Source organism: Homo sapiens, chromosome X (genome assembly GCF_000001405.40).
Source record: "Homo sapiens chromosome X, GRCh38.p14 Primary Assembly".
Classification (NCBI taxonomy): Eukaryota; Metazoa; Chordata; class Mammalia; order Primates; family Hominidae; genus Homo; species Homo sapiens.
In genome coordinates, this window is record NC_000023.11 from 82,118,758 (window position 1) to 82,146,182 (window position 27,425).

Here is a 27,425-nt window from a genome sequence, read left to right on the forward strand (position 1 = left end):
CCAGAATAACTGGGATTTCAGGTGTGTACCACCACACTTGACTATTTTTTTGTTTAATTTTTAGTAGAAATTAGTTCTCACTACGTTGCCCAAGCTGGTCGTGAACTCCTGGGCTCAAGCAATTCACCTGCCTCAGTCTCCCAAAGTGCTGAGATTAGAGGCATAAGCCAACACACCCAGCAGTTTGTAAAATTTTAAAAGAAATAAACACATTAAGCTCTCAGTCCATAAATGCTTTACTGTTGTTCATCTTCTAAAATTATATTAGTATCAGGATCCCCAGTTCCCCTATTTGACAAACTTGCATTAGTTAAATTAGTGATTGTCAAGATGTTCAACGGATTATACATAAGTTACCAGAATTATTTAGGCACAATTATTTTATGTGATTTAGATACTTCTGCCTACCAACTGATTGGCTAATAGACTATTTGACAAATGTTGTAAAGATCACAGATACAACATTTAATATAAGTAATGTCTTGCTTTGTGCATATAAAGCTTAACTTTTTTTTTTTTTGTCTTAAACAGCAGAAATTTACTGTCTTGCAGTTCTGGAAGCTGGACATTTGAGATAAAGGTGCAGCAGGGTTGGCTCCTTACAAGGACTATGAAGGGGAAATTCATGCCTCTCTCCTAGATTCGTTGGCTTCTTCTGCATCATTCCAATCTCTGCCTTCCTCTTCACAGGGTGTTCTTCCAGTTTGGATGTGGTAAGGAAAAATACAAATTTAAAATAAGAAATTTATTCTCCATGTTGAAATAAAGTAAGAGATTTCCCTCCCTTCCTGTTTATTTATTTATTTATTTATTTATTTATTATACTTTAAGTTTTAGGGTACATATGCACATTGTGCAGGTTAGTTACATACGTATACATGTGCCATGCTGGTGTGCTGCACCCATTAACTCGTCATCTAGCATTAGGTATATCTCCCAATGCTATCCCTCCCCCCTCCCCCCACCACACAACAGTCTCCAGAGTGTGATGTTCCCCTTCCTGTGTCCATGTGATCTCATTGTTCAATTCCCACCTATGAGTGAGAATATGCGGTGTTTGGTTTTTTGTTCTTGCGATAGTTTACTGAGAATGATGATTTCCAATTTCATCCATGTCCCTACAAAGGACATGAACTCATCATTTTTTATGGCTGCATAGTATTCCATGGTGTATATGTGCCACATTTTCTTAATCCAGTCTATCATTGTTGGACATTTGGGTTGGTTCCAAGTCTTTGCTATTGTGAATAATGCCGCAATAAACATACATGTGCATGTGTCATTATAGCAGCATGATTTATAGTCCTTTGGGTATATACCCAGTAATGGGATGGCTGGGTCAAATGGTATTTCTAGTTCTAGATCCCTGAGGAATCGCCACACTGACTTCCACAATGGTTGAACTAGTTTACAGTCCCACCAACAGTGTAAAAGTGTTCCTATTTCTCCACATCCTCTCCAGCACCTGCTGTTTCCTGACTTTTTAATGATTGCCATTCTAACTGGTGTGAGATGGTATCTCATTGTGGTTTTGATTTTACCCTTAAAACCTGAAGCTTCTTCCCTTGGGTGTCATAACCTATTTATTGCTCATAAAGTTTAGACCAATGGCTGCAATGTTTCCAGCACGGGGATAAGTAAATATACACAAAATATTGTTTTCTATTTTAAAAGATAATGGCACTTTCATACATATAAATGCCAAGTAAAATCTTTAACTCAAATATTTGAGTTCATTCTTCCGTGAAGAACCATTTTTATACTGCCTAACTCAAAAAAGTTCTGTTCTAACCTAATAATGACAGTTCTGATAATATCTACAATAAATTTCAGAAGCATTCAATTACACAGGTTATTTCACTTTTAGGACATGGATGAAGCTGGAAACCATCATTCTGAGCAAACTATCAATCACAAGGACAGAAAACCAAACACCACATATTCTCACTCATAGGTGGGAATTGAACAATGAGAACACTTGGACACAGAGTGGGGAACATCACACACCGGGGCCTGTCGTGGGGTGGAGGGAGTGGGGAGGGATAGCCTTAGGAGACATACCTAATATAAATGAGGAGTTAATAGGTGCAGCACACCAACATGGCACATGTATACATACGTAACAAACCTGCACGTTGTGCACATGTACCCTAGAACTTAAAGTATAAGAAAAAAATAAAATAAAATAAAATAATCAATATATATCATGTTACTATAAAATAAAGCATTACATAATCTCAAAGATGTATCTAAATGCTAGATTTTTAAAATGCCAATTAAATATGTATATTAATTATACCTGGGCAATCAATTTTATATTTGGGCATTAGTTAATCAAAACTCTGTTCAGGACTTGCAAAATGTCCAGAAATAAATGCTGGGTGTTAAGGGGTGAATACAAAATAGAAACATAAGTAGTCATTGTGCCACAAAGAAGGAAACAACACACTCCAGGACTTACTTGAGGGTGGAGAATAGGAGGAGGGAGAAGGTAAAATGAAAAAAAATAACTACCTATCAGTTACTATGCTTATCACCTGGGTGATGAAATGATCTGTATACCAAATCCTTGTGACATGCAATTTACCTACATAACAAACTTGCACCTGTACCTCTGAACCTAAAATAATAGTTTAAAATGATAAGTAGTCATTGTCCCTAAAGCATGTATAGTTTGCTTAGAAAGACATCACATATGAAAATGGAGCAAATCGAGCAGTTAGAGTTGAATTCCAAACACTTACTATGTGTTGTGGTATGGAAACTATATGTAATAAGAACTCATAAAAATGTAAGTGTATTTTGGACCAGAGTAATTCCGGGAAGACTTTGGAGAAGAAAAAGTACCTCAACTGGACCTTAAAATATTATGTGTTATAAATATTGACCGTTGGAGAAACATACTTATTCCAAAACACAATGTGAATAACGGTATAGAGGTAGTAACTAACATGGAATGTATGAGGAAGTTTGTCTTACAAGATAGGTGCCCTTGCTTTGGGGTGAGTCTGAGATAAGGTTATATAGAAATGATGGAATGAGAAGATTGTGGACCTTAAAAGAAGAACAAATATTCTGAATTCTATTTTAAATATAATAGAGACCTGCTATAGAAAATTGTGGGCCTTAAAAGAAGCACAAATATTCTGAATTCTATTTTAAATATAATAGAGACCTGCCATAGATTCTTGGATGAAGAAAATACTCAGGGAGAATGTGGTTTTAGTAAAACTATGTTAGCAGTTAAGGTTAGAGCAAAGTTCAGGAAAGCCATATCTTATACCAGATTTATTGCTGTGGTGTGCAGTGTTCTATCAGCTTTTTGAACATTAATGATCTATCTTAAGCTTTAGCACAGATGGTAACTAAATTGGATTTTATATCATTCAAATATTTGGGGAAGATGGTGAGTGATATTATTTAGTTGTTATTTCGATCTTTCTGTGGATTATTATTCCTATCATATACTAGAGGTATTGGACTACAGATATTTATTCAGTATTTTCTTGGAAGATAGGATGAGTCATACATTTTCACTTTGATAATATCTAAAATACTACCTTTTCTATCCCTATAAGACAATGTTAATTATAGAAATACAATATAAATACAATAATATATTTTAAGAGCTTGGGTGATCTATACAAATATTTTACTTATTGTGACCATCTGGAAAAAATGCAGTCTACGCTGTGGCAAACAAAATAATTCTGAAAACATAATTAAAAACAGGAGGTGTTAACTCCTGGGAACTTTATATTACATGCATGAGCAGTTCCCAGAACAATAGAAAACTAAGTGATGTTATATAGGCAAACACTCTTATGTAAGGCAGATGTTGGCTATCCTACCACCCACTGGAAATGAAAAGCTAGCTTATTTGTTTGTGTCCAAATGACTGTTTGTTTGTGGAATTAGTCTTTCCAGAAGATATATATATATACACACACATATGCATATATTTTCTTATGTGTATACACACACATACACACACACACACACACGAGAAAGAAAGACAGATTAAGAGAGACAGAAAGATAAATGGAGAGAGAGAGAGAAAGAGAGAGAGAAAGAAATAATCATAAGGCAGTTTCTGTAGTACTTTAGTTATTGATGGTTTTAAAATGTATCAGTACAAAATGAGTATAATAAAATAGCAGCAGTAGCACTGTGGGGTGGGGTGACAAGCTACAGCTCCAAAGCTATCTAAACAGAATTTAATAAATAAAATATTTTACAAAAGAAAATGTGCATTGTTAACATTGCAAGAACTGCAAAGCCAGTAACCATGGCATGTTGTAGAAAATAGATTTGCCAGTTTCTGGAAATTTGGCTGAAATTTAGTTTATTCTCCACTTTATTTTCCTTTTTTGCATTTCAAGAAACAAATTTGGCCCTTGACAGCAACAGGACTGAATCATAATTTGTGCCACTCTATGGCTGAATTCCAAATGGCTCAGGCGCATGGCAACAGGAGTGGTGGCAAGGACTTTTTCTTGGGATTTTGGGCACCACTCCTTGCAGGAGAGTTTAGTATACTACATGTGGGAACAATCAGAGGCAGACAAAGCAGCTACAGTCCTCAAGGGAGAGCAGCAATAAGAATTGGGTTAAACTGAAAGTCTTTGCCAAGAGCTTGGTTTTAAAAAATGGCATTGTTGAAACAATTTTTTTTTATAAAAGAATAAGCATGGGTTTGGGGAAATAAGTGGATGAGCTCCAGTTTTTGGTGCAGAAAATTATGATGGAGTACCTGGAAGCAATTACAAGTTCCGTATGGTGCCAGGGGAGTAGACTGTGGAGATTGTTTCAGTCTCTTTTCACGTGGTGTTATCTCATAAACATATGCTATTGCATGTTCAGAGGATGTAGAAATAATTTACTGACTTGTTCAACATTTGTTCAGTGGTTTTACATGTCAATCAGCAATTAACAAAATATTAAGAGCTTACTTTGAACATTGCACTGTGCCAAGGAATAAGGGATTTCCATGTGGCTGATGATATAGTCCTTACATTCAAGAACTGACCAGTAATTAAAGACATAGGAAATATGTATGCACTGCAAGGCTGTGAAATGCAGCCAAAACAAAAATACATAAAATAAACTGCTACAGATTTCCAAATAGGAACAAAGTAATTATAGAAGATTCAAGTAGAAAATGAGATTAGTGCGAGACTATAAATGATAGGTTGGTAATATATGAGAAGAAAAGACAAGTCTAATCAACAACAGTAGATTCCAGAAGGTAGACCACAGAAACAAATTTTTTTTAATTTATGAAATGTAGAGTTTTGTCTTCCAGAAATTAAACTGAGAGACATGGGTGGGTCATTGAACAGTTGAGTTATGTGATGACATATATGAAGAATATTACAGCATAGAGGACAAAATGGGGTGAGGAGGGAAATAAGAAATTTGTACACAGTCCAATGTAAAGGTGGATATTACAGTGGTCCAAGCATGTGACAAGGAAGATCTAGGCCAGAGTTATGAGAGAAAATTTAGGAAAAGACCAAGATAACAGACATTGAATGAAGAGGCATAATCTTATTCCTATAAAACAGTGTTACCTTTAGAGTCAAGAAATCTATCTTTTAATCCAACTTTATTGTAACATATACAAATCTGGAAACATATCTGAAACTCATTAGAGCATAGTTTTCTTATATAGAAGATAAAGGAGGTTAATACAATTATGTCTAAAAATTTTCCCTTTGTAGCTCCAAAATTCTATGATTCTAGGAGTATATGGGAGTTAAATTGAGAAGCTGAAGGAAGGAAAGATGTAATTAAAAAAATAATTGTGAAATATTGAATATGAATAATTAAAGTCTGAGTGTAATATTAAGCATGATAGGAATTTAGAGGAACTGAGTGATATAATAGAAAAGTATTAAGTTTACCTTTGGGTAAGCTAAGTAAAATGTAATAGCAATATTAAAGTGATTAAAAATATGAAGTGTTAGGAAATACAGGTGTACAGTTTGACAGAAATGCCAGGAAGAAAAATCCATAGAAGCAGTCCTTGTTATGGATGTTAGTATGGGATTATGAAATTAACCATGCAAGCTGAAAACACAAAATGTCATCTTACTAATCAATAGAGAAATTTCAGTTGTTCTGGGATCTTTATAAATTTGTATTAAAACAATTACATTAGCAAGGTGATGGACTAGAAAGCTCCAGGCCCTTACCTCTTCATGGGAACATCAGGTAAACAACAGACTGACTAAAATAGCTTTGAGAGAGCTCTAGCAATAAGTAAAAAATCTGCAGCAATGAAGCAAATGTTGAATCAACATAAAACCACGCTCAAAATGATGGAAAACTTGTTGAAATTTTTGTTCAAACTTACCTCACCCCTTCCCTGAAACTGAGTCGAAGGAGGGAAGCCACTCTACTGCTGATTTTTCCTTTGAGATAAAAATAATAGATTGGAACTGCTGGCAACTTTCTGACCTGTTTAAGTACTGCTGAGAGACTGGTTTCCATCCCAACTGATGACTTCAGATGAGAATAGCTGCATAGCTTGAAATAGGTCAGATATCAAGCTGTAAAGGACACAGAAATCAGGAGTGAGTGCCACAGCATGTGAAGGCTGCAGAAATATTGCAGATGCACGCAGGTCTGGGGGCAAAAGATAACATGGTGATAAATACCATAGAACATAAATCACCCCAAGAAGAAGCAAGCATAAGACTTTTAGGAAATTAAGGCATTTAACAATAACCAAGTATACAGGAGAATTAGCATATTCAAAGGAACAAAATAAATCTCTAGAAATTTACACTAAATAAACACAGGCTTTGGACCTAAAAAACAAAGATGTGAAAACAGAAGTTTAAAATATGCTCAAAGAGCTAAAAATTAACACAGAAAGAAAACTAAAAGAAAACAAAAAATAATATGTAAATGAAACTATTAGCAGAGACCGAAATTATTTTTAAATTCTGAAACTGAAGTATATGATAACTAAGTTAAAAACTTTAGAAGTTCAGCAGCAGAATTGAACTCGAATAAAAAATAATCAGCAAATTTAAAGACTGGTAATTTTACTGTCACAAGAATTAAAAAAAAAAAAGCCAAAGGATAAAAGAGGAGAAAAAAGTAAAAACAAGTGAACAGAGCCTAAGAGACTAATGATATACCAGAAAATAGAATAATATATTCATTATGAAAATTCTATAAAAATAAAAAGAGAAAGGGACAAAAAGGTTATTTGAAGAAATATTGGCCAACTTCCCAGTTTGATGAATGACATGGATGTACAAATACAGGAAGCTAAAGAACCTCAACAGAATGAATTAAATGAGAACTACACTGAGATAAGTAATAATTTCACTGTATAAAGACAAGCAAAAAGAATTATATTGAAAGCAGCAAAAGAAAAATGAATCATCAAATACAAAGAATCCTCGATAAGATTAACAGTGGATATCTTAACAGAAACTTTTGAGGTCAGAGGCAATGAGATGACAAATTTTGAGTGCTAAAAATACCCTATATCATCTAAAAATTCTATGTCTAGGAAAACAATTCTTCAAATATAAGGGGGAAATTAAGGCTTTCTGTATAAGCAGAAGCTCAGAGAGTGTATTACCATATGTCCATCATACATAAATGCTAAAAGGAGCCCTTAAAGTTGAAATGAAAGGATATACACAGAAACTAAAAGCCATATCAAAATATAAAATCACCTAATAAAGGAAAATGCATTAACAAATATAAAAAGTATTATTTTTATTTTCTTGCATAACTACTTCTAATTCTTTTATATATTTACAATAAAAAGCATAAAATATCACTGTTACCCTGTGTTGCATTTCTATAAAGGAATAGCTGAGGCTGGGTAATTTATTTAAAAAAAAAGATTTAACTGGATCATGGTTCTGCAGGCTTTACAGCATAGAACCAGCATCTGTTTGGCTTCTGCTGAGGCCTCTAGAATCTTTTACTCATGGCAGAAGGCAAAAGGGATCAGGCATGTCACATGGTGAGAGTAGGAGGAAGAGAGAGGAGAGAGGCACTAAACTCTTTTTTTTTAATATATTTATTTATTTGTTTTTTATTATACTTTAAGTTTTAGGGTACATGTGCACATTGTGCAGGTTAGTTACCTATGTATACATGTGCCATGCTGGTGTGCTGCACCCACTAACTCGTCATCTAGCATTAGGTATATCTCCCAATGCTATCCCTCCCCCCTCCCCCCACCCCACAACAGTCCCCAGAGTGTGATGTTCCCTTTCCTGTGTCCATGTGATCTCATTGTTCAATTCTTTTAACAACAAAATCTCATGTGAGCCCATTACTAAGGGTAGGGCATGAAGCTATTCATGAGGAATTTGAACCTATGACCCAAATACCTCCTACAAGGTCTCACCTCCAACACTGACGATTACATTATAACATGGGATTTGGAAGAGGCACCCACTTAAACCATATAAAATTTTATGTTAATTGGTATATGATAAATAAATATACAATTTATGACAATAAAATAAACTTGAAGGTTTGATAAAAAGGTAGAAATTTTCTAAAACAGGAGCACCCAGATTCATAAAGCAAGTTCTTAGCTACCTGTAAAAAGACTTAGATAACCACACAATATAGTGGTAGATTTCAACATACCACTGACACTATTAGACAGATCATTGAGGCAGAAAACTAACAAGAACCTGAACTTGACAACTGGCCAAATGTGGCTAACAGACATCTATAGAATTCTCCACACAAAAACAACAAAACATACTTTTTTTCTCATTGGCACATGGTACATATTCTAAAATTGACTACACAGTTTTTCATAAAACAAATCTCAGAAAATTTAAAGAAAGCTGAAATTATGCCAAACACATTATCAGGCCACAGTGCACTACAAATAGAAATCAATAAGAAGGAAATTGCTCAAAACCATACAATTACATGAAAGGTAAACAACTTATGCTTGACTGACTTTTGAATAAATAAGAAAATCAAGGCAAAAACTTATAAATTCTTTGAAACTAATAAGAACAAAGATACACCATACTAGACTCTTTGGGACACAGTTAAAGCAGTGTTAAGAGGAAAGTTTATAGTACTAAAAATCTTCTATTGGCAGTCACAAAATGCAAAATACTGCACAATTTCAATTCCACCTATATGAGTCATCTGGAGTAATCAAACTAATAGAAACAGAAACTAGAATTGTGGTTTCCAGCGGCTGAGGGAGCGAGAGAAATGGGTAATTTTTGTTTAGTTTCAATCAAGTTTCAGTTTTGCAAATTGAAATGTTCTGAACATTGTGCAACAATGTTTATATGCTTAACAACAATGATGTGTAAACTTAGTTAAGATAAATTTTGTTATGCATTTTTTATCATAGCATAAAATTTAAGTATCTGTTTTAAAAACTAGAGGTGTTGTATGCAATTAATATTAATTTGGTATCAGTTAATAATATATTATGATTATTTTTACAATGTTATATGTAATCATCATGGTAAACACAAGTAAAATTTTATATATATATATATATGATGAGAGTAAAATGTGTCATTATGAGCTATCAACTACAAATATAAGAATATAGAATGAAAAAAAGGAGGTAAGAATGGCTATGACATATATAAAAGAAATAACAGAATGACAATACTAAGTCTTTCCTTATCAGTAATTATTTTTAAAATATTTAAAAAAATTACTCCTGAAGCAAAAGTCATAAATGAGCAGATGGTTTAAAATAATAACATAATAATAATAAACAAAATCCAACTATATAGAATCTATAAGAACTTAGTTTAGATGTAAGGACACAGACATAAGGATTGAAAAAATATATAACATGCAAATAGTAACTAAAAGAGAGCAGGAGGGTGCTACATTAATATTAGACAAAGTATACTTTCAGTATAAAAAGTCTCTCATAAGAGATAAGAAAGGATATTATATTTAATAAAGGGATCAATTCACTATAAAGGTAAAATCATCATAAACATATACATACAATTATTATTTCCCAAACATATGAAGCAAATATTACAGAATGGAAGGGAGAAATAGACACTGTAAAATAACAGTCTTCATTATTTCACATTCACTAATAAACAGAAAAATCAGACAGAAGAAAAATAAGAAAATAGAAGACTTGAACAACACTAAAGAACAATTGCATCTAACATACATATAGCAAACAAACACTCCACCAAACAGTAGCACAACTATTGAGAAAAGGATTCCAATAAAAAATAAATTTATAAAATTTAAAAGAAGATTCAAAATACTGATCTTAAAGAAATTCAGTCAGATAAAAAATACTGAAAAATATTATTGATAAAAATAATCAGGATGTGAATAAAAATTTTACCAAAGAGATATATATTTTAGAACCCCAAACAGATTTTGGAATGGAAAACTGACTTCACTGAATAAAATATAAAACACATTGAAAAACTTCAATAGAATAAATTAAGAAGAAGTTAAACTTACAAAACTTGAAGCCATGTCTTCTGAGATAACCCACTCAGAACAAAAAATTAAAACATATGAGCAGTATGTTGAGACATATGGTATACCATAAAGTGACCAAATATTCAAGATATCAGTGTCACAGAAAGCAAAGAGAGGGAGAAAAAAAAGTGTTAGATTACCTATTTAAAAAAATAATAGATGAAAACCACCCAAATCTAGGCAAGAGATTTCAACATCCAGATACAGGAGGCTCAGAGATCCCCAAACAAATAAAATGGAAAAATGTCTTCTTTATGACACACTACACAAAAACTGTCTAATGTCAAAGACAAACAAATAATTGTAAAAACAACAAGGGAAAAGCACTGTGACCTATAAAGGGAGCCCCATCAGACTAACAGCAAATTTTCCATCAGAAATATTACAGGCCTAAGGAGAATGGAATGATATACTCAAAGTGATCAAAGCAAAAAAACTGTCACCTAAAGATACTATACCCAGAAAAAATTATCCATCATAAATTTTATAAAGTAGAAGTTATATCACAATGTCTAGACCAGCCATACAAGTTAATTCACAATCTCAAGACAAGCCATACAAGAATTTCTCAAGGTACAACTAAACCTGGAAGTGAAAATATGACATTTATTATCACAGAAACAAAAGTATAAAACTCACTGGTAAGGCAAACAACTGACCAAGAGAAAAGACTCAAATTATACCACTACAAAAAAAAAAAAAAACACTAAACCACAATAACAAACAGTAAGAGAAAGAAAACGAATAAAGAGTGTACAAAACAACCAGAAAACAATTACCAATGCGATAGAAATAACACCTCAAATATCAATAGCAACACTGAAAGTAAATTTACTAAATCATCCACTTAAAATATTAAGACTGGCTGAATGATAGTAAAAGAATACATAAACTAAATATATTCTACATACAAGATACACGTTACCTTCAAGGCACATATAGACTGAAAGTAAAGTTATGAAAAAAAAGATATTGTAGCTAAACAGAAATGAAAAGCAAGCAGGAGTAGTTATTCTTATATTAGATAAAACAGACTTTAAGTCAAAAACTGTAAACCAAACAATGTCATTGTATAATTGTAAAATGACCAAGGTATCCAAGTGATACAAAAATTCTCTCTATATATTCATTCATCACTGGATCAGCCAAATTTATTATCTAACAACTGCAGAATAGAGTCTTTTCAGCAGCACAACAAACATACTGTAGGATAGACCATATGTTAGGCCAAAAACAAATTTCAAGAAATTTTTAAACATCTAAATCATATCAAGTCTTCTCAGACTACATTGAAATAAAGCTAGAAATAAATAATAAGAGAAACTTTGGAAAATATAAAAATACATGGAAAATAAACCAAATACTTCTAAAGATTATTGGGTCATGTAGAAATAAAGATAAAAATTTTTTAACAATGGATTGGACATGGTGGCTCATGCCTGTAACCCCAGAACTCTTGGAGGTTGCGGTGGGTGGTTCACTTGAACCCAGGAGTTCAAGACATCCCTGAGTAAATGGCAAAACCCTGTCTCTACAAAAAGTACAAAGATTAGCTGTGTGTATTGGTGCATACCTGTAGTCCAAGCTATTTGACAGACTGAGGTGGGAGAAAGGCTTGAACCCAATAGGTTTAGGCTACTGTGAGCTGTGATTGCACCACTGTACTCCATCCTGGAGGAGAGGGTGAGATGCTGTCTCAATAAATAAATAAATTTTTAAAAATTAAATTTGAAATAAATAAAAATGACCATATAGTGTAAGAAAAACATAAATTTACCTAAAACTGTGCTGAGTAAAGTTTAAAGCAACAGACATCTACATCAAAAAAGTTATAAAAATTCCAAAAAAAAAATCTAACAATGGACCTAACAAAGTAGAAAAGCAAGAATTAACCAAACATAATATAAGCAGAATAAAAACAATTAAGATAAAAAGAGAACAAAAAAATATGTACACTAAGGAAGTGGGAAAAGAGCAAGATAGTGAAATAGAAGGCTGCACCGATTGTCCCACTCAGCACACCAATTCAACAACTTTTTACACAGGAAAAGCAACTTCACAAGAACTGAAAATGAGCTGAGCACTCACTGTACCTGGTTGTAATTTTATATCACTGAGACACCAAAGAGGTAGAAAATAATGTCTTGAATTACCAGTGGCAACCCTCCCTCATTTGATGGCAGAGGCGATGTGCTGCAGAGAGCATTTCTTTGCAGTTGGATGATGGAGAGCATAGCAAATGTGAGGCATTAAACTCAGTACTTCCCTGTTATAGCGGAAAGAATAACTGGACCAAATTCAGCTGATGCTCGAACATGGAGAAAGCATTTAAACCAACCCTTTGCCAGAAGGAAGTTGCAAATCCCAGTCATAGAAACTCAAGTTTCCACAAGCCCTTTCCCCACAAGCTAAAGTGATATGGGGCTCAAAATATACTTTAAAGGCAATATAGGCCATAAAGACTGCAACTCCTAAGCGAGTTCTAGTGCTAATCTGGGCCAAGAGCCAGAGGACAGGGGTGCACATGACCTACTGACACACCAGCAGGGATTGCTAAAGGAGTGCTGGTTTTAGCACTACCTTAACCCAAATTTGCACAGCACATGGCCCCAACAGAGACCACCTTTAGAAAAGGGAGGGAAAAGTAGGAAAAGAGGATACAGTCTTTGTTTGAGTGCCAGATCAACTGCATTATGTTAGAATACTACGTAGACTTTAAAAAATTTTGAGCCTAGTGAGTGGTTCCTAGATGGTGTGACTGGACCTGACTGGGGCCTGTGGCAACTGGTGGCTCTGAAGGGAAGGACACAGGCCTGACTGGCTTTGCCATCTTCTGAATGTAGAACTTCAGGTACTTGAGTGAACATAAGCTGTAGCCAAATAGATGTTACAGCTGGCCTTGGGTGAAATCCAGAGCTTTGCTGGCAGCAGGCTTGACCAAGTGCAGTCCTGGTTGTGGTGGAAACAGAAGGACTTGTGTCATTCCACCCTAGCATAAAGTGGCTCAGAACAAAGTGAGACTCTGTATCTTTGGAATAAAGAAAGAGAAGAAAATAAGAGTTTCTGCCAATCACACCAGATAATTCTCCTGCATCATTTCCAAGACCATAAAGGCAGTATGTCTATGACTCCGCAAGAACCACAGCCTTATTGGGTTTGGGATGTCCCCTAAAGCAGATGCAGTTTTGATCACAACACCAAAGTCTTTTCAACTATCTGGAAATTCTCTTAAGAAGGATGGCTAAAAATAAGCCCAGACAGTGAAGACTACAAGAAATACCAACTTTTCAATGCCCACAAACTGAAGATCATCTATAAGTATTAAAATTGTCCAGGAAAAAAAATATGACCTCACCAAATGAACTAAATAAGGTACCAGGGGCCAATCTTGGAGAAACAGAGATTTGTGATCATTCAGAAAGAGAATTCAAAATAACTGTCTTGAGGAAACTCAAAGACATTCATGATAACACAGAGAAGACAATCAGAATTCTATCAGATAAATTTAACAAAGATATTGAAATAATTTTAAAAAATCAAGATGATATTCTGGAGCTGGAAAATGCAATTGGTGTACTGAAGAATGAATCAGGGTTCTTTAATAGCAGGATGGATGAAGCAGAAGAAATAATTAGAAAGCTTGAAGACAGTTTATTTGAAAATATACAGTCAGAGAAGAAAGCGAAAAAAGTAAAACAAACAAACAAAAAAAGAAGCATGTATTAGTTCCTTCTCACAATGCTATAAAGAACTACCTGACACTGGGTAATTTATAAGTAAAAGAGGTTTAATTGCCCTAAAGTTCCATAGGCTGTGCAGAAAGCATGGCTGGGGAGTTTTCAGGAAACATACAATCATGACAGAAGGTGAAGGGGAACCAGGCACATCTTACATGGCCAGAGCAGTAGAAGACAGCCAAGAGGAAGGTGCTACACACATTTAAACAACCAGATCTTCTGAAAACTCACTCACTATCATGAGAACAGCAAAGGGTAAGTCTGCCCCCATGATCCAATCACCTCCCACCAGGCCCATCCTCCAAAATTGGGGATTACAATTAGACATGAGATTTGGGCAGGAATACCTTTTCAAATCATATTATTCTACCCTTGGCGCCTCCCAAATCTCATGTACTTCTCACATTGCAAAATATAATTATTCTTTCTCAACAGTCCTCCAGTCTTTACTCATCTGAGACAACGTAATTCCCTTCTGGCTATGGGCCTGTAGTATCAAAAACAAGTAAGTTACTTCCAAGATACAATTGGGATATAGGTATTGGTAAATATTACATTTCCAAAAGGGAGAAATTGGCCAAAACAAAGAAGCTACAGGTCCTATGAAAGTTCAAAACCCAACAGGGCTGTCTTTAAATCTTAGAATTCCAAAGTAATCTACTTTGACTCCATGTCTCACATCCAGCCTACACTGATGCAAGGGGTGAGCTCTCAAGCCCTTTGGCAGCTCCACTCTTGTAGTTCTGCAGCATATAGCCCCAGTGGCTGCTTTCATGGGCCAGCATTGAGTGCCTGTGGCTTTTTCAGGTGCACAGTGCAAGCTGTCAGTGAATCTACCATTATGGGATCTGGAGGATGGTGACCCTCTTCTCACCCCTCCACTAAGCAATGCCCCTGTGAGGTCTCTATGTGGGGGCTCCATCCCCACATTTCTCATCTGCACTGCCATAGTAGATGTCTTCCATGGGGGCTCCACCCCACCACAGACTTCTGCCTGGACATTCAGGTATTTCCATATATACTTTGAAATCCAGGCAGAGGCTTCCAAGCCTCAACTCCTGCCTTCTGCACACACACAAGTGCCACAGCATGTGGAAGCCACCAAGGCTTGTGACTTGCACTCTGAAGCAATGGCCCTAGTTGTACATTGGCCTTTATCAGACATGGCTGAAAATGGAGCTGGAGTGGCTGCGATGCAGGATGCCATGTCATGACACTGAACAGAGCAGTGGGGCCCTGGGCATGGTCCACAAAACCATTTTTCTTATCATAGGCCTCCTATGATGAGAGGGGCTGTTGAGAAGGTCTCTGAAATGCACTGGAAGCATTTTCCACATTGTCCTGGCTATTAATATTTGGCTCTTCTTTACTTATGCAAGTTTATGCAGCCTTGAATTCCTCCCCAGGAATTGTGTTTTTCTTTTCTGCCACATTGTTGTGCTACAAATTTTCCAAACATTTATGCTCTGCTTCCCTTTTAAATATAAGTTCCAGTTTCAGATAATCTGTTTGCTCATGCATATAAGCACATAATGTTACAAGCAGCCAGACCACATCCTGAATGCTTTGCTGCTTAGAAATTTTAAGTTCCACACATCTCTAGAGCAGGGGCATGATGTCACCAGTCTCTTTGCTAAAGCATAGCAAGAGTGACCTTTACTCCAGTTTCCAATAAGTTTCTCATCCCCATCTGAGTCTACCTCACTCTGGGCTTCACTGTCAATATCATCATCAGCATTTTGGTCTAAACCATTCAACAGGTCTCTAGGAAGTTCCAAACTTTTCCTCATTTTTTCTGTCTTCTTTTGAGCCCCCCAAACAGTTCCAACCTCTGCCCAATACCGAGTTCCAAAGCTGCTTCCACATTTTCAGGTATATTTACAGCAATTCTCCACTTCTCTGGTACCAATTTTCCGTATTAGTCTATTCTCACACTGCTGTAAAGGACTACCTGAGGCTGAGTAACTGATTAATAAAAGAGGTTTAATTGAGTCACATTTCCACAAACTGTATAGGAGGCATGGCTGGGGAAGCCTCAGGAAGCTTACAATCATGGCAGAAGGTGAAGAGGAAGCAAATATGTCTTACAATGGTGGAGCAGGACAGGGAAAGAGAGAGTGAGGGGGGAAGTGACACATGCTTTGAAACCATTATGTCTTGTGAGAACTCACTCACCATCAAAAAAACAGCAAGGGGGTAATTCACCCCCATGATCCAATAACCTCCCACCAGTTTTGTCCTTGAACATCAAGAATTACAATTCATAGGCCGGGCATGGTGACTCATGCCTGTAATCCCAGCTCTTTGGGAGGCTGAGGCAGGTGTATCACGAGACCAGGAGTTCAAGACCAGCCTGGCCAATATGGTGAAACCTCGTCTCTACCAAAAATACAAAAATTAGCTAGGCATGGTGGCATGCACCTATAGTCCCAGCTACTCAGGAGGCTGAGGCAGAAGAATCACTTGAACCCAGGAGGCACAGGTTCCAATGAGCCAAGATCATGCCACTGCACTCTAGCCTATGCGACAGAGCAAGATTCCATCTCAAAAACAAATAAACAAACAAAAAAACAAAAGAATTACAATTCAACATGAGATTTGGGTTAGGACACAGAGCCAAACCATATCAAACAGTCACTGGAAAAACAAACAAACAAACAAAACACAGTGTCTTCAATAAATGGTGCTGGGAAAATAAGATATTCAAATCAAGAAGAATAGACTCCTATATCTCACCATACACAAAAATTAAATCAAAATGCATTAAAGTCTTAAATCTAAGACCTCAAATCATGAAACTTCTACAATAAAACTTTGGAGAAAATCGTCAGGATGTTATTCTGGGCCAAAATTTCTTGAGCAGTACCCCACAAACACAAACAACCAAAGCAAGATGGACAAATGGTATTATATTAATTTAAAAAGCTTCTGCACAGCAAACTAAATAGTCAATAAAGTGAAGAGACAGCCTACAGAGTGGAAGAACATATTTGCAAACTAACCGTCTGACAATAAATTAATAGCAATAATATACAATGAGCTCTAATGACTTTGTATGAGGAAATCTAATAATCTAATAAAAACATAAGCAAAATATTTGAACAGATATTTCTGAAAATAAGACATACAAATGGCAAACAGGCATATAAAAATGCTCACCATCAATAATCAGAGTAATGAAATTCTAAACTACAATGAGATATAATTTCACCCCAGTTAAATTAGCTTATATCTAAAGTTCAGGCAATAACAAACACAAGCAAGAATGTGTAGAAAAGAAAATCCTTGTACATTGTTGGTGGGAATGTAAATTAGTACAACCACTATGGAGAAGAGTTTGGATATTTTACAAAAAACGAAAAATAGAGGTACCATGTGATCCAGCAATCCCACTGCTGGGTACATACTCCAACGAAGCAAAATCAGTGTATTAAAGAGATATCTGCACTCCTATGTTTGTTGCAGCATTGTTTACAATAGACATACTTTGGAAGCAACCTAAGTTTTCATCAACAGATAAAGAAAATATGGTACATATATACAATAAAGTACTATTTAGTCATAAAAAACAATGAGTTCCAGTCATTTGAAACAACATGGATGACACTGGAGAGCATTATGTTAAGTGAAAGAAACCAGACACAGGGAGAAAAAAAAAATCACACATTCTCACTTATTTGTGAGATCTAAAAATAAAAACAACTGAATTAATGGAAATAGAGAGGGTAAGGGTGGTTATTAGAGGCTAGGAAGGCTAGTGAGGGTTTGGGGGAGAGAGGTGGGGATTGTTAACATAAGGTAGAAAGAATAAATAAGACCTGCTATTTGCTAGCACAACAGGGTGACTGCAGTAAATAATAAGTGTACATTTTAAAATAGCTTAAAGTGTGTAGTTGAATTGTTTGCACCTCAATAGATAAATTCTCGAGGGGATGGATACTCCATTATTCATGATGTGCTTATTTCTCATTGCATGCCAGTATCAAAACAAATCATATATCCCATAAGTATATATGGCTACTATGTACTCACAAAAATTTTTTAAAATTTACAAACACAAAAATACCCAAAATTAATATACAAAAATCAGGGCCAGGCAGGGTGGTTCATGCCTGTAATCCCAGAACTTTGGGAGGCCGAGGCAGATGGATCACAAGGTCAAGAGATCAAGACCATCCTGGCCAACATGGTGAAACCCCATCTCAATTAAAAATACAAAAATTACCTGGGTGTAGTGACACGTGCCTGTAGTCCCAGGTACTCGGTAGTCTGAGGCAGGAGAATCGCTTCAACCTGGGAGGTGGAGGTTGCAGTGAGCCAAGATTGTGACACTGCACTCCAGCCTGGCAACAAAGTGAAACTCCGTCAAAAAAAAAAAAAAAAAATCAGTAGATTTCTATAGGCCTACAATCTAAAAGAGATTAAAAAGTGATTCTATTTGTAACAGCCACAATAAAATTAAATACCTAAGTATCAACTTAACCAAAGAAGTAAAAGATATCTATAATAAAAAATTATACAACACTGATAGAATAAATTGAAGAAGACACAAATTAAAAACAGATATTCAATGTTCATGGATTGGCAGAATCAATAATGTTAAAGTGTCCATACTACTCAAAGCAATTTACAGATTAAATGCAGTCTCTTTCAAAATACCAATGACATTCTTTCCAGAAATAGAAAAAAATATGAAAATTTATATAAAACTGCAAAAGACCCAGAATAGCCAAAGACATTCTAAGTAAAAACAAACAAACAAACAAACAAAACTAATGGTATCACATTGCCTGACTTCAAATTCAAATTTGTGTGCTACAGAGCTATAGTAACCAAAATAGCATAGTACTGGCATAAAAACAGACAAATATACCAAGGGAACAGAATGGAGAACCAAGAAACAAATCCAAACACCTATGGTGAACTTATTTTTTACAAAGTTGCCAAGAACATACACTGGGGAAAAGACAGTCTTTTTAGTAAATGGTGCTGGGAAAACTGGCTATCTATATGCAGAAGAATAAAACTGGACCCCTATTACTCACTGTATACAAAAATTAAGTTAAAATGCATTAATGACTTCAATCTAATATGTCAAGATATGAAACGTCTACAAAGAAAACATTGTTGAAACTATCAAAACTTTAGTCTGGGTAAAAAATTTTTTGAGTAATACCTTGCAAACACAGGCAACCAAAGCATAAATGAACAAATGAAATTACATCAAGTATAAAGGCTTCTACACAGAAAGGGAATCAATCAATCAAGTGAAGAGACAACCTATAGAAATAGAGAAAATATTTGCAAACTATGCATCTGGCATGAAATTAATAACCAAAGTATTTAAGAAGCTCAGACAAGTCTGTAAGAAAAAAAAAACTAACAATATAATTAAAAGTGGACAAAATATTTAAATATAAATTTCTGAAAAGAAGACACACAAATGGCAAACAGGCATATGGAAAGCTTCTCGACATCATTAATTATAAGAGTAATGCGAATGAAAAATACTATGAAAGATCATTTCGCACAGTTAAAATAATTTATATCCAAAAATCAGGCAATGACAAGTGCTGGCATGCTTATGCAGTAAAGGGAATCCATGTACACTGTTGGTAGGAATGTAAATTACTGCAACCACTATGGATAACAGATAAGAAGTGCCTCAAAAAACTAAAAATAGATCTACCACATAATACAGAAATCTCACTGCTGGGTATATATCCAAAAGAAAGGAAATCAGTGTATCAAAGAGCTATCTGCACTCCCATGTTTGTTACAGGACTGTTCACAATAGCTAAGACTGGAAACAACGTAAGTGTTTAAAAATTTAAAAAGTATATATACTAAAAAAATACAGAGAATTAATGATAGACAATGTTCCCTCCTATGAAGATAAACAAAACTGGTAAATCATGAGCCATGTTAAATGATACATAAAAAAGAATACCCAAATATACAATATTAGAAACTAAAAAAGGAAAGATTATAACTGATACTAGAGAAATACAAAAGATTATTAAAGGCAATTATGGAAAATTATACATTGACAACTTGGAAAATCTAGAGTAAATGGATGAATGTATGACAACATGATACCTACCAAGATTTGATTCAGAAAAAAATAAAAACCTGAACAGGACAATGAGTAGCAAGATTGAATCAGGAATAAAAACCCTCACAACAACAATGAAAAGTCTACAACTGGATGAATTCGCTGTCAAATTCTATCAAATGCATAATAAAGAACTAATGCCAATCATCCTCAAACTAGTCTAAATAATTTTACAGATATTATTCCCAACTCATATGACAGTGCCATCCTTACCCTGTTATCAAACCGGACAAAGACACAACAAAGAAAACTGTATGCTAACATTCCTAATGAACATATATGCAAATATCTTCAACATAATAATTGCAAACCAAATCCAACAGCACATCAAAAAAGATGTAATCTCACCATGATTGACCTGCATAGTCCAACATACGCAGATCAACAAATGTGATACATCACAATATTAGAATAAAGGATGAAACCATATGATAATTTCAATAGATGTAGAAAAATTATTTATTAAAATTCAAGATCTCTTTATTATAAAATCCCTCAAAAAACTAGGCATAGAAGAAACATACCTCAAATAATAAAGGCCATGTAGAACAAACCCACAGCTAACATAATAGTGAATAGGGATAACTTAAAAGCAATCTTTTCAAGAACTAAACAAGACCAGGCTGCCCATTTTCATCACTTTAATTCAACACAGAACTGGAAGTCCTAGCCAGAGCAGTCAGGCAAGAAAGAAATATAAAAAGCATTCACGCTAACAAGAAGAAATTTAAATTGACCCTTTTTGCAGATTACATAATCTTATATTTAAGAAAACCAAAAGATTTTACCTAAAAACCTTTAAAACTGATAAATAAATACAGTAAACTTGCAAAATACAAAATCAACATAGAAAAATTATTAGTTTTCATACGCAAATAACAAAATAACCAAAAAAAAATCAAGAAGGCAATTCTATTTACAGTAGCTGCAAAAATCTACCATGCCTAGGCTGGGTGCGGTGGCTCACGCCTGTAATTCCAGCACTTTGGGAGGCTGAGGCAGGCGGATCACGAGGTCAGGAGATCGAGACCATCCTGGCTAATATGGTGAAACCCTGTCTCTACTCAAAATACAAAAAATTAGCTGGGCATGGTGGCGGGCGCCTGTAGTCCCAGCTACTCGGGAGGCTGAGGCAGGAGAATGGCGTGAACCCAGGAGGTGGAGCTTGTAGTGAGCCGAGTTAGCACCACTGTACTCCAGTCTGGGTTTCAGAGCAAGACTCCATCTCAAAAAAAAAAAAATCTACCATGCCTAGTGACCTAGGAATATATTTAACCAAGGAGGTGAAAGAGCTCTAAATTAAAAAAAAAAATGAAGAAAATTTACCAGATACTGATTCAAAAATGTAAAAGAACACAAACAACTGGAAAGGCACCCCATGGTCATGAATCAGAAGCATTAATATCATTAAAGTGAACATATTTCCCAAATAAATCTACATATTCAGTGTAACTGCTATCAAAATAACAATGCCATTTTTCACAGAAATAGAAAAAAATCCTAAAATTAGTATGGAAATTTAAAAAAAGCCAGAATATGTAAATACATCCTGATCAAAAAGAACAAAGTTGGAACCATCACATTACTTAACTTCAAATTATACTACAAAGCAATAATAACCAAAGCCACATGGTATAGATATAAAAGTAGACACATGAGCCAATGGAACTGAAAAGAGTATCCATAAATAGATGCATGTATGTGCAGCCAGTTGATCTTCAACATAGTTGTCAAGAACATACACTGGGGCAATGCCACCATCTTTAATAAATGTGGTGGGAAAACTGGATAACCAAATGAAGAAGAATAAAAGTGGGCCTCTATCTCTTCCCAAGAAATCAACTAATTGTAGAGTGAAGACTTAAATATGAGACCCAAAATTGTAATACCATGAGGAGATAACAGAGGAAAATGGGCACTTCGGACATTGTTCTGGAGAAATATGGCTATGACCTGAAAAGCACAGGTAAGAAGAACAAAAATAGACTAATGAGACAATATTAAGCTAAAGGTTAAAATTCAGTAGTGTTTCTATACACTAAAAATGAAATAGCCAAAAGAGAAATTACGAATGCAATCCCATTTTTTAATACTTACAAAAAATACCTAGCAATAAATTTTATCAAAGAGTTGAAAGATCTCTACAAGGAAAACTGAGAAAACACTGATTAAATAAATTGAAGAGGACATAAAAAATAAATGTATATCCCATCTTCAGGAATCAGAGTCATTAATATTGTTAAACTAATCATACTGCCCAAAGAAATCTGTAGATTCAATGCAATCGATATCAGAACACTAATAATATTTTCACAGTAATTGAAAAAGCTATCCAAAATTAGTATAGAACTAAAAAAGAGCCAGAAAAGCCAAAACAATCCTGAGCACAAAGACAAAAGCTGGAGGCATCACACCATCTGACACTTACCCAAGTAACAAACCTGCACATGTACCTCCTAAACCTACAATAAAAGTTGAAAAAAAAAGAAAAGAAAATTCCATTAGTTTTATTTTGAAAAGCAGAAAAATAAATTTAGGAGTGTGGACCCAGTGTCAGATTGCCAAGTAGAGCCCATCTGAACCCAGTACCTTCCTTTGAGAAATGAGATTAATGAAGAAAATATCTCAAATAAATGATTTTAAGAATAAATAAAGCTATGCAAGAAAAAACTCAATACATTACAAGGCTTTACTATCCATAACATCATGGTATTTTTACAAAAATAGACACATAGACCAATGTAAAAAATACATATTTACAGTCAACTGATTTTCGACCAAGTAGTCAAGAACAAACTTAGTAAAGTTTGGTCAGACAAGTGATTTGACCATGAAAGATTCTTCCTTGTAAATGGAATAAAGGTTTCTAGTGATCTGAAAAAAAAAAAAAAAAAGTGTGAGAACTAAACAGTAGGGATGCCATTTTTCTACCTTGGAGACTGTGTTTTCTAGGTTGTTCCCAGAAACAAAGCAAATGCCAACCTCGCCCATACTTTTAACAGAGCATAACAACACTGACCACAACAAAGCCTGATGGCTCTTACCACATCCTTCCCCAGCCCCCTACAGTTCCAACCTGCCAGCACTTCCCCAACTCCTCCCCTACAGATAATTTGTTATAAAAACCTTAACCTGTGAGTGATCAAAGAGATCAGGGTCTCAGCCAGATTCCTGACTGGGACCCCTCACAGGCTTATTCCTGTAAACAAACCTATTTGGTTGTTGAGTTGCTTTCTCTCCCTCACTCTCTTCCTTTATATTTTTCTAACATTTGGTGCCAAAACCCAGAATGGGGTCTGGGTTTCATAGCGGAGAGGTTGTCTCTCACGGCTTCGTGTTCCCAGCCCCATCTACCATCCTTCTTCCCACCTTCACATTCCACTCTCCTTCTTTTTCTTCTCCCCTCCCTACCCCTTTCTTTACTTGGCAACTCCAGCGAAAGGCCACCGCCAACTGATGACCAGACATCGCTTCGAACTGGTAAGTTTTGGCAGCCCTTCCTTGGTGCCAGGAAAGGATTGCCTCATTACCAGACAACTCCGGGAATCTGGAAGCAAAGGAGATGTCTTTTGTTTCTAGTCTCCCCTTTCTGTGAGGATTCAAGAAAACCGGGGTTTTTCTTCAAAATCTTCTGCCGGGATTTTTGAGACAGTTGTTGGAACACCTCAACTGACCCCATCTCCCTTGGCTTCCATCCTGGAAAACAGAAATGGGAAATCTGCCGTCCAAAATTCCCTTAGACTCACCTTTGGGCTGTCTATTTAAAAACCAAACTCAATTGGAGCTTACTGACACTATAAAACCTAAACTGCTAATTTTCTTCTGCAATGTGGCCCGGCCACGATACAAGTTGGATAATGGCAGTTACTGGCCTGAAAATAGCACTTTTAATTTCCAAATTCAATGCAATCTTGACAAATTCTTACAAAGAAATGGCAAATGGTCTGAGGACCCCTATATCCAGGCTTTCATGTATTTATGCTCAAAACCCTCTCTGTCAGACTTGTTCCCCTCACCAGTTGTTATTGCTAAACGAAAATTCCCAGTCCCCTTCTCACTCTTCCCCCATAACAACCCTGAGAGCAATTTTGATCCCGCTGAGGAACCTCCACCATACCACCAGCTTCAGGCCCCTGCCGGAGCCACCAGCCCCATCGCCACCTCCCCCACTCCCCTTTCTATCTATATCACCTGTTCAAAAAAACAGTCAAACCCTAGCCATCCTTCCCCTCTGCGAGGTTCATGTTCCTTCTCAATGCCAGACATGTCTGAGATCAAAAGGCACCTGGTTCCTTTTCCACTGACCCTTCCCACTTCCGAAGGGAGTTTCTTTATGTTACTCAGTCATATAACCTTACTTGGCATAACATTTATGTTATCCTCTTAGCCACTCTTACCCCAGATAAGAAACAATGCATTTGGCTGGCCTCTCAAGCCCATACCAATATACTTCACCAGCAAGATGTAGTCCATAATCCTGTTGCAGCCAATGCTGTTCCCGGAGCAGACCCCTAATAAACTTACCCTGCATCCAGTGCTATAATCATATGTTCACTTGTCTCCTGGTTGGCATGGAAAAATGTGCCCATAAGGCAGTAAATTATGAAAAAATTAGAGAAATAAGCCATGGCCCAAATGAAAATCTAGCTTTTCCTGTAAAGGTTATCAGAGACCATGCTCAAATACACAAAACTAGACCCTGAATCACAAGAGGGTCAAGCCTATCTTCACTTACATTTCATTTCACAATCAGCACCAGATATTAGGAAAAAGCTGCAAAAACTAGAGGAGGGACCACAGACCCCACGAAGGGATCTTATAAATCTGGCCTTCAAGGTCTTCAATATCAGAGAGAAAGAACATAAAATGCAAAAGGAGAAGCAGGTTAATATTAAATACCAGATCCTAGCTGCTGCCCTCCAGAGGGTTTCTAAGGAAAGATCATCTTCTCAGGACCCTGGCACCTGTTTTCGATGCGGCAACACAGGACTTTGGGCAAAGGCCTGCCCAAACCCATGGCCCCCAGCAAAGCCCTGTCCTACATGTGGTAAATGGGGACACTGGAAAATAGACTGCTCTCAACGAGAACACCCTTCCTGTTTGACAGCATTCTCTAGTAGGTCCCCGGACCCACAGCAGGGAAGCCTCTCCTTTTTGTTGGCACTAGCATCTGAAGACTGACTGTGCCTGGGATCCCTTGTCCCCACATCACGTGAGTCTCCAGAGCCCAGGGTAATCATGATGGTATCTTGTAAGCCAATTTCCTTCTTACTGGATACTGGGGCAAGTTTCTCATTTCTTCCAGAATATTCTGGACCCCAAAATCGTTCCTCCATTTCTGTTGCTGGGGTTGATGGCCACCCTATAACCCTCTCTCAAACACCTCCACTATACTGCACTTTATTCAATACTGCCTTTACTCACTCATTTTTAGTAATTCCACAGTGTTCTACACCACTTATTGAAAGAGACATATTCAATAAATTTGGGGCCATATTACAATTTAATACTCTGCCTCAAGTGCCAGCATACTTGCTCCATTGCCAGTCAGAAAACAATAAAAGCGAAACCCAGTCCTCAACAACTTCAATCCAAGTAGTTAACCCAACGGTATGGGACACTTCTCAGCCCATTGTTGCCACATACCACCAGCCACATTTTTTCTTGAAACAGAGTCTCACTCTGTTGCCCAGGCTGGAGTGCAGTGGTGCGATTTTGGCTCACTGCAACTTCCACCTCCCAGGTTCAACTGATTCTCCTGCCTCAGCCTCCTGAGTAGCTTGGACTGTAGGCGCCCACCACCACTCCCAACTAGTTTTTGTATTTTTAGTAGAGGCAGGGTTTCACCATGTTGCCCAGGCTGGTCTCGAATTCCTGACCTCAAAAGATCCACCCACCTCAGCCTCCCAAAGTCAGCCACTTTTAATAAAATTTAAAAACCCCTCCCAAATTGTTTCACAACCCCAATATTCCCTCAGCCAGGCTGGACTTAGGGGAATAAAACCCATCATCACCAGACTACTAAAAGCTGGCATTTTAACAACCACCAATTCTCCCCATAACACCCCCATTCTGGTAGAAAAAAAAAGCAAATAGACAATACAGGTTAGTCCAAGACTTGAGCTGAATTAATGAAGCCGTAATGCTCATTCACCCTGTAGTTCCCAATCCGTACACTATACTATCTAAAATCCCACCAAACACTACTCACTTTACTGTTCTAGACCTTAAAGATGCCTTTTTCACTATTCTCATTGACCCAGCTTCCAAGCCCCTTTTTGCATTCATCTGGACTGATCCAGACTCATAAACTTCTATGCAGTTAACCTGGACAATCCTACCACAGGGGTTTCAAGATAGCCCCCATCTATTCCATCAAGCTTTGGCATAAGAACTTCAAAAATTATCACTTCACCCTAGTACTGTTCTTCAGTATGTGGATAACTTTTTTCTCTGTCACCCCTCACAACCAATTTGTATAGCACTCACTGTAACCCTACTCAAACATTTATCCATCCTCAAGTACCGGTATCTAAAGACAAAGCCCAAATCACCTCATCAAAAGTCACTTATCTGAGCCTTTTAGTCTCCCCAATATCCAAAGAAATTCCATCTGAATGGAAGCAAGTAATTGCTTCCCTCCCCATGCTTACCACTAAGTGGGATTTGTGGTCTTTTCTAGGGCTCACAGGGTATTTCAGGCTATGGATTCCTAACTTTGGAATTATAGCAAAACCATTTTATGCAGCATCAGAGGGGGACCTCAATGAGCCTTTAGATATTTCACAGGATATAATTTGCTCCTTCGAACAATTAAAAAAGGCCCTTCTACAGGCCCCAGCTTTGGCCATAACTAACCCTAACGCAAATTTTACCCTATATGTTCATAATGCCGAAGGTTTAGCCCTAGGCCTCCTAGGTCAGCATGCAGGAGACCAACTCCTTCCCATCACTTATTTCTCAAAGCAACTTGATTCAGTTTCCCAAGGTTGGCCCTCTTGCCTTCGGGTTTTAGCAATGGCTGCACTACTCTTACTTGAAACCCAAAAGCTAACTTCCATCAGCCAATTACCATCGCA

At 36.4% G+C, this 27,425-nt stretch overlaps 1 long non-coding RNA gene across 1 annotated transcript; it reads right to left on the reverse strand.

Annotated features, from left to right (window-relative positions):
- Positions 1-218: 218 nt before the first annotated feature.
- On the reverse strand, positions 219-6,785 carry LOC105373286 (uncharacterized). The gene is made up of 3 exons (XR_938455.2): positions 6,663-6,785; positions 6,359-6,554; positions 219-696 (listed from the first exon to the last, which is right to left on the reverse strand). It is a non-coding gene; the product is annotated as an uncharacterized LOC105373286 (long non-coding RNA).
- Positions 6,786-27,425: the final 20,640 nt, after the last annotated feature.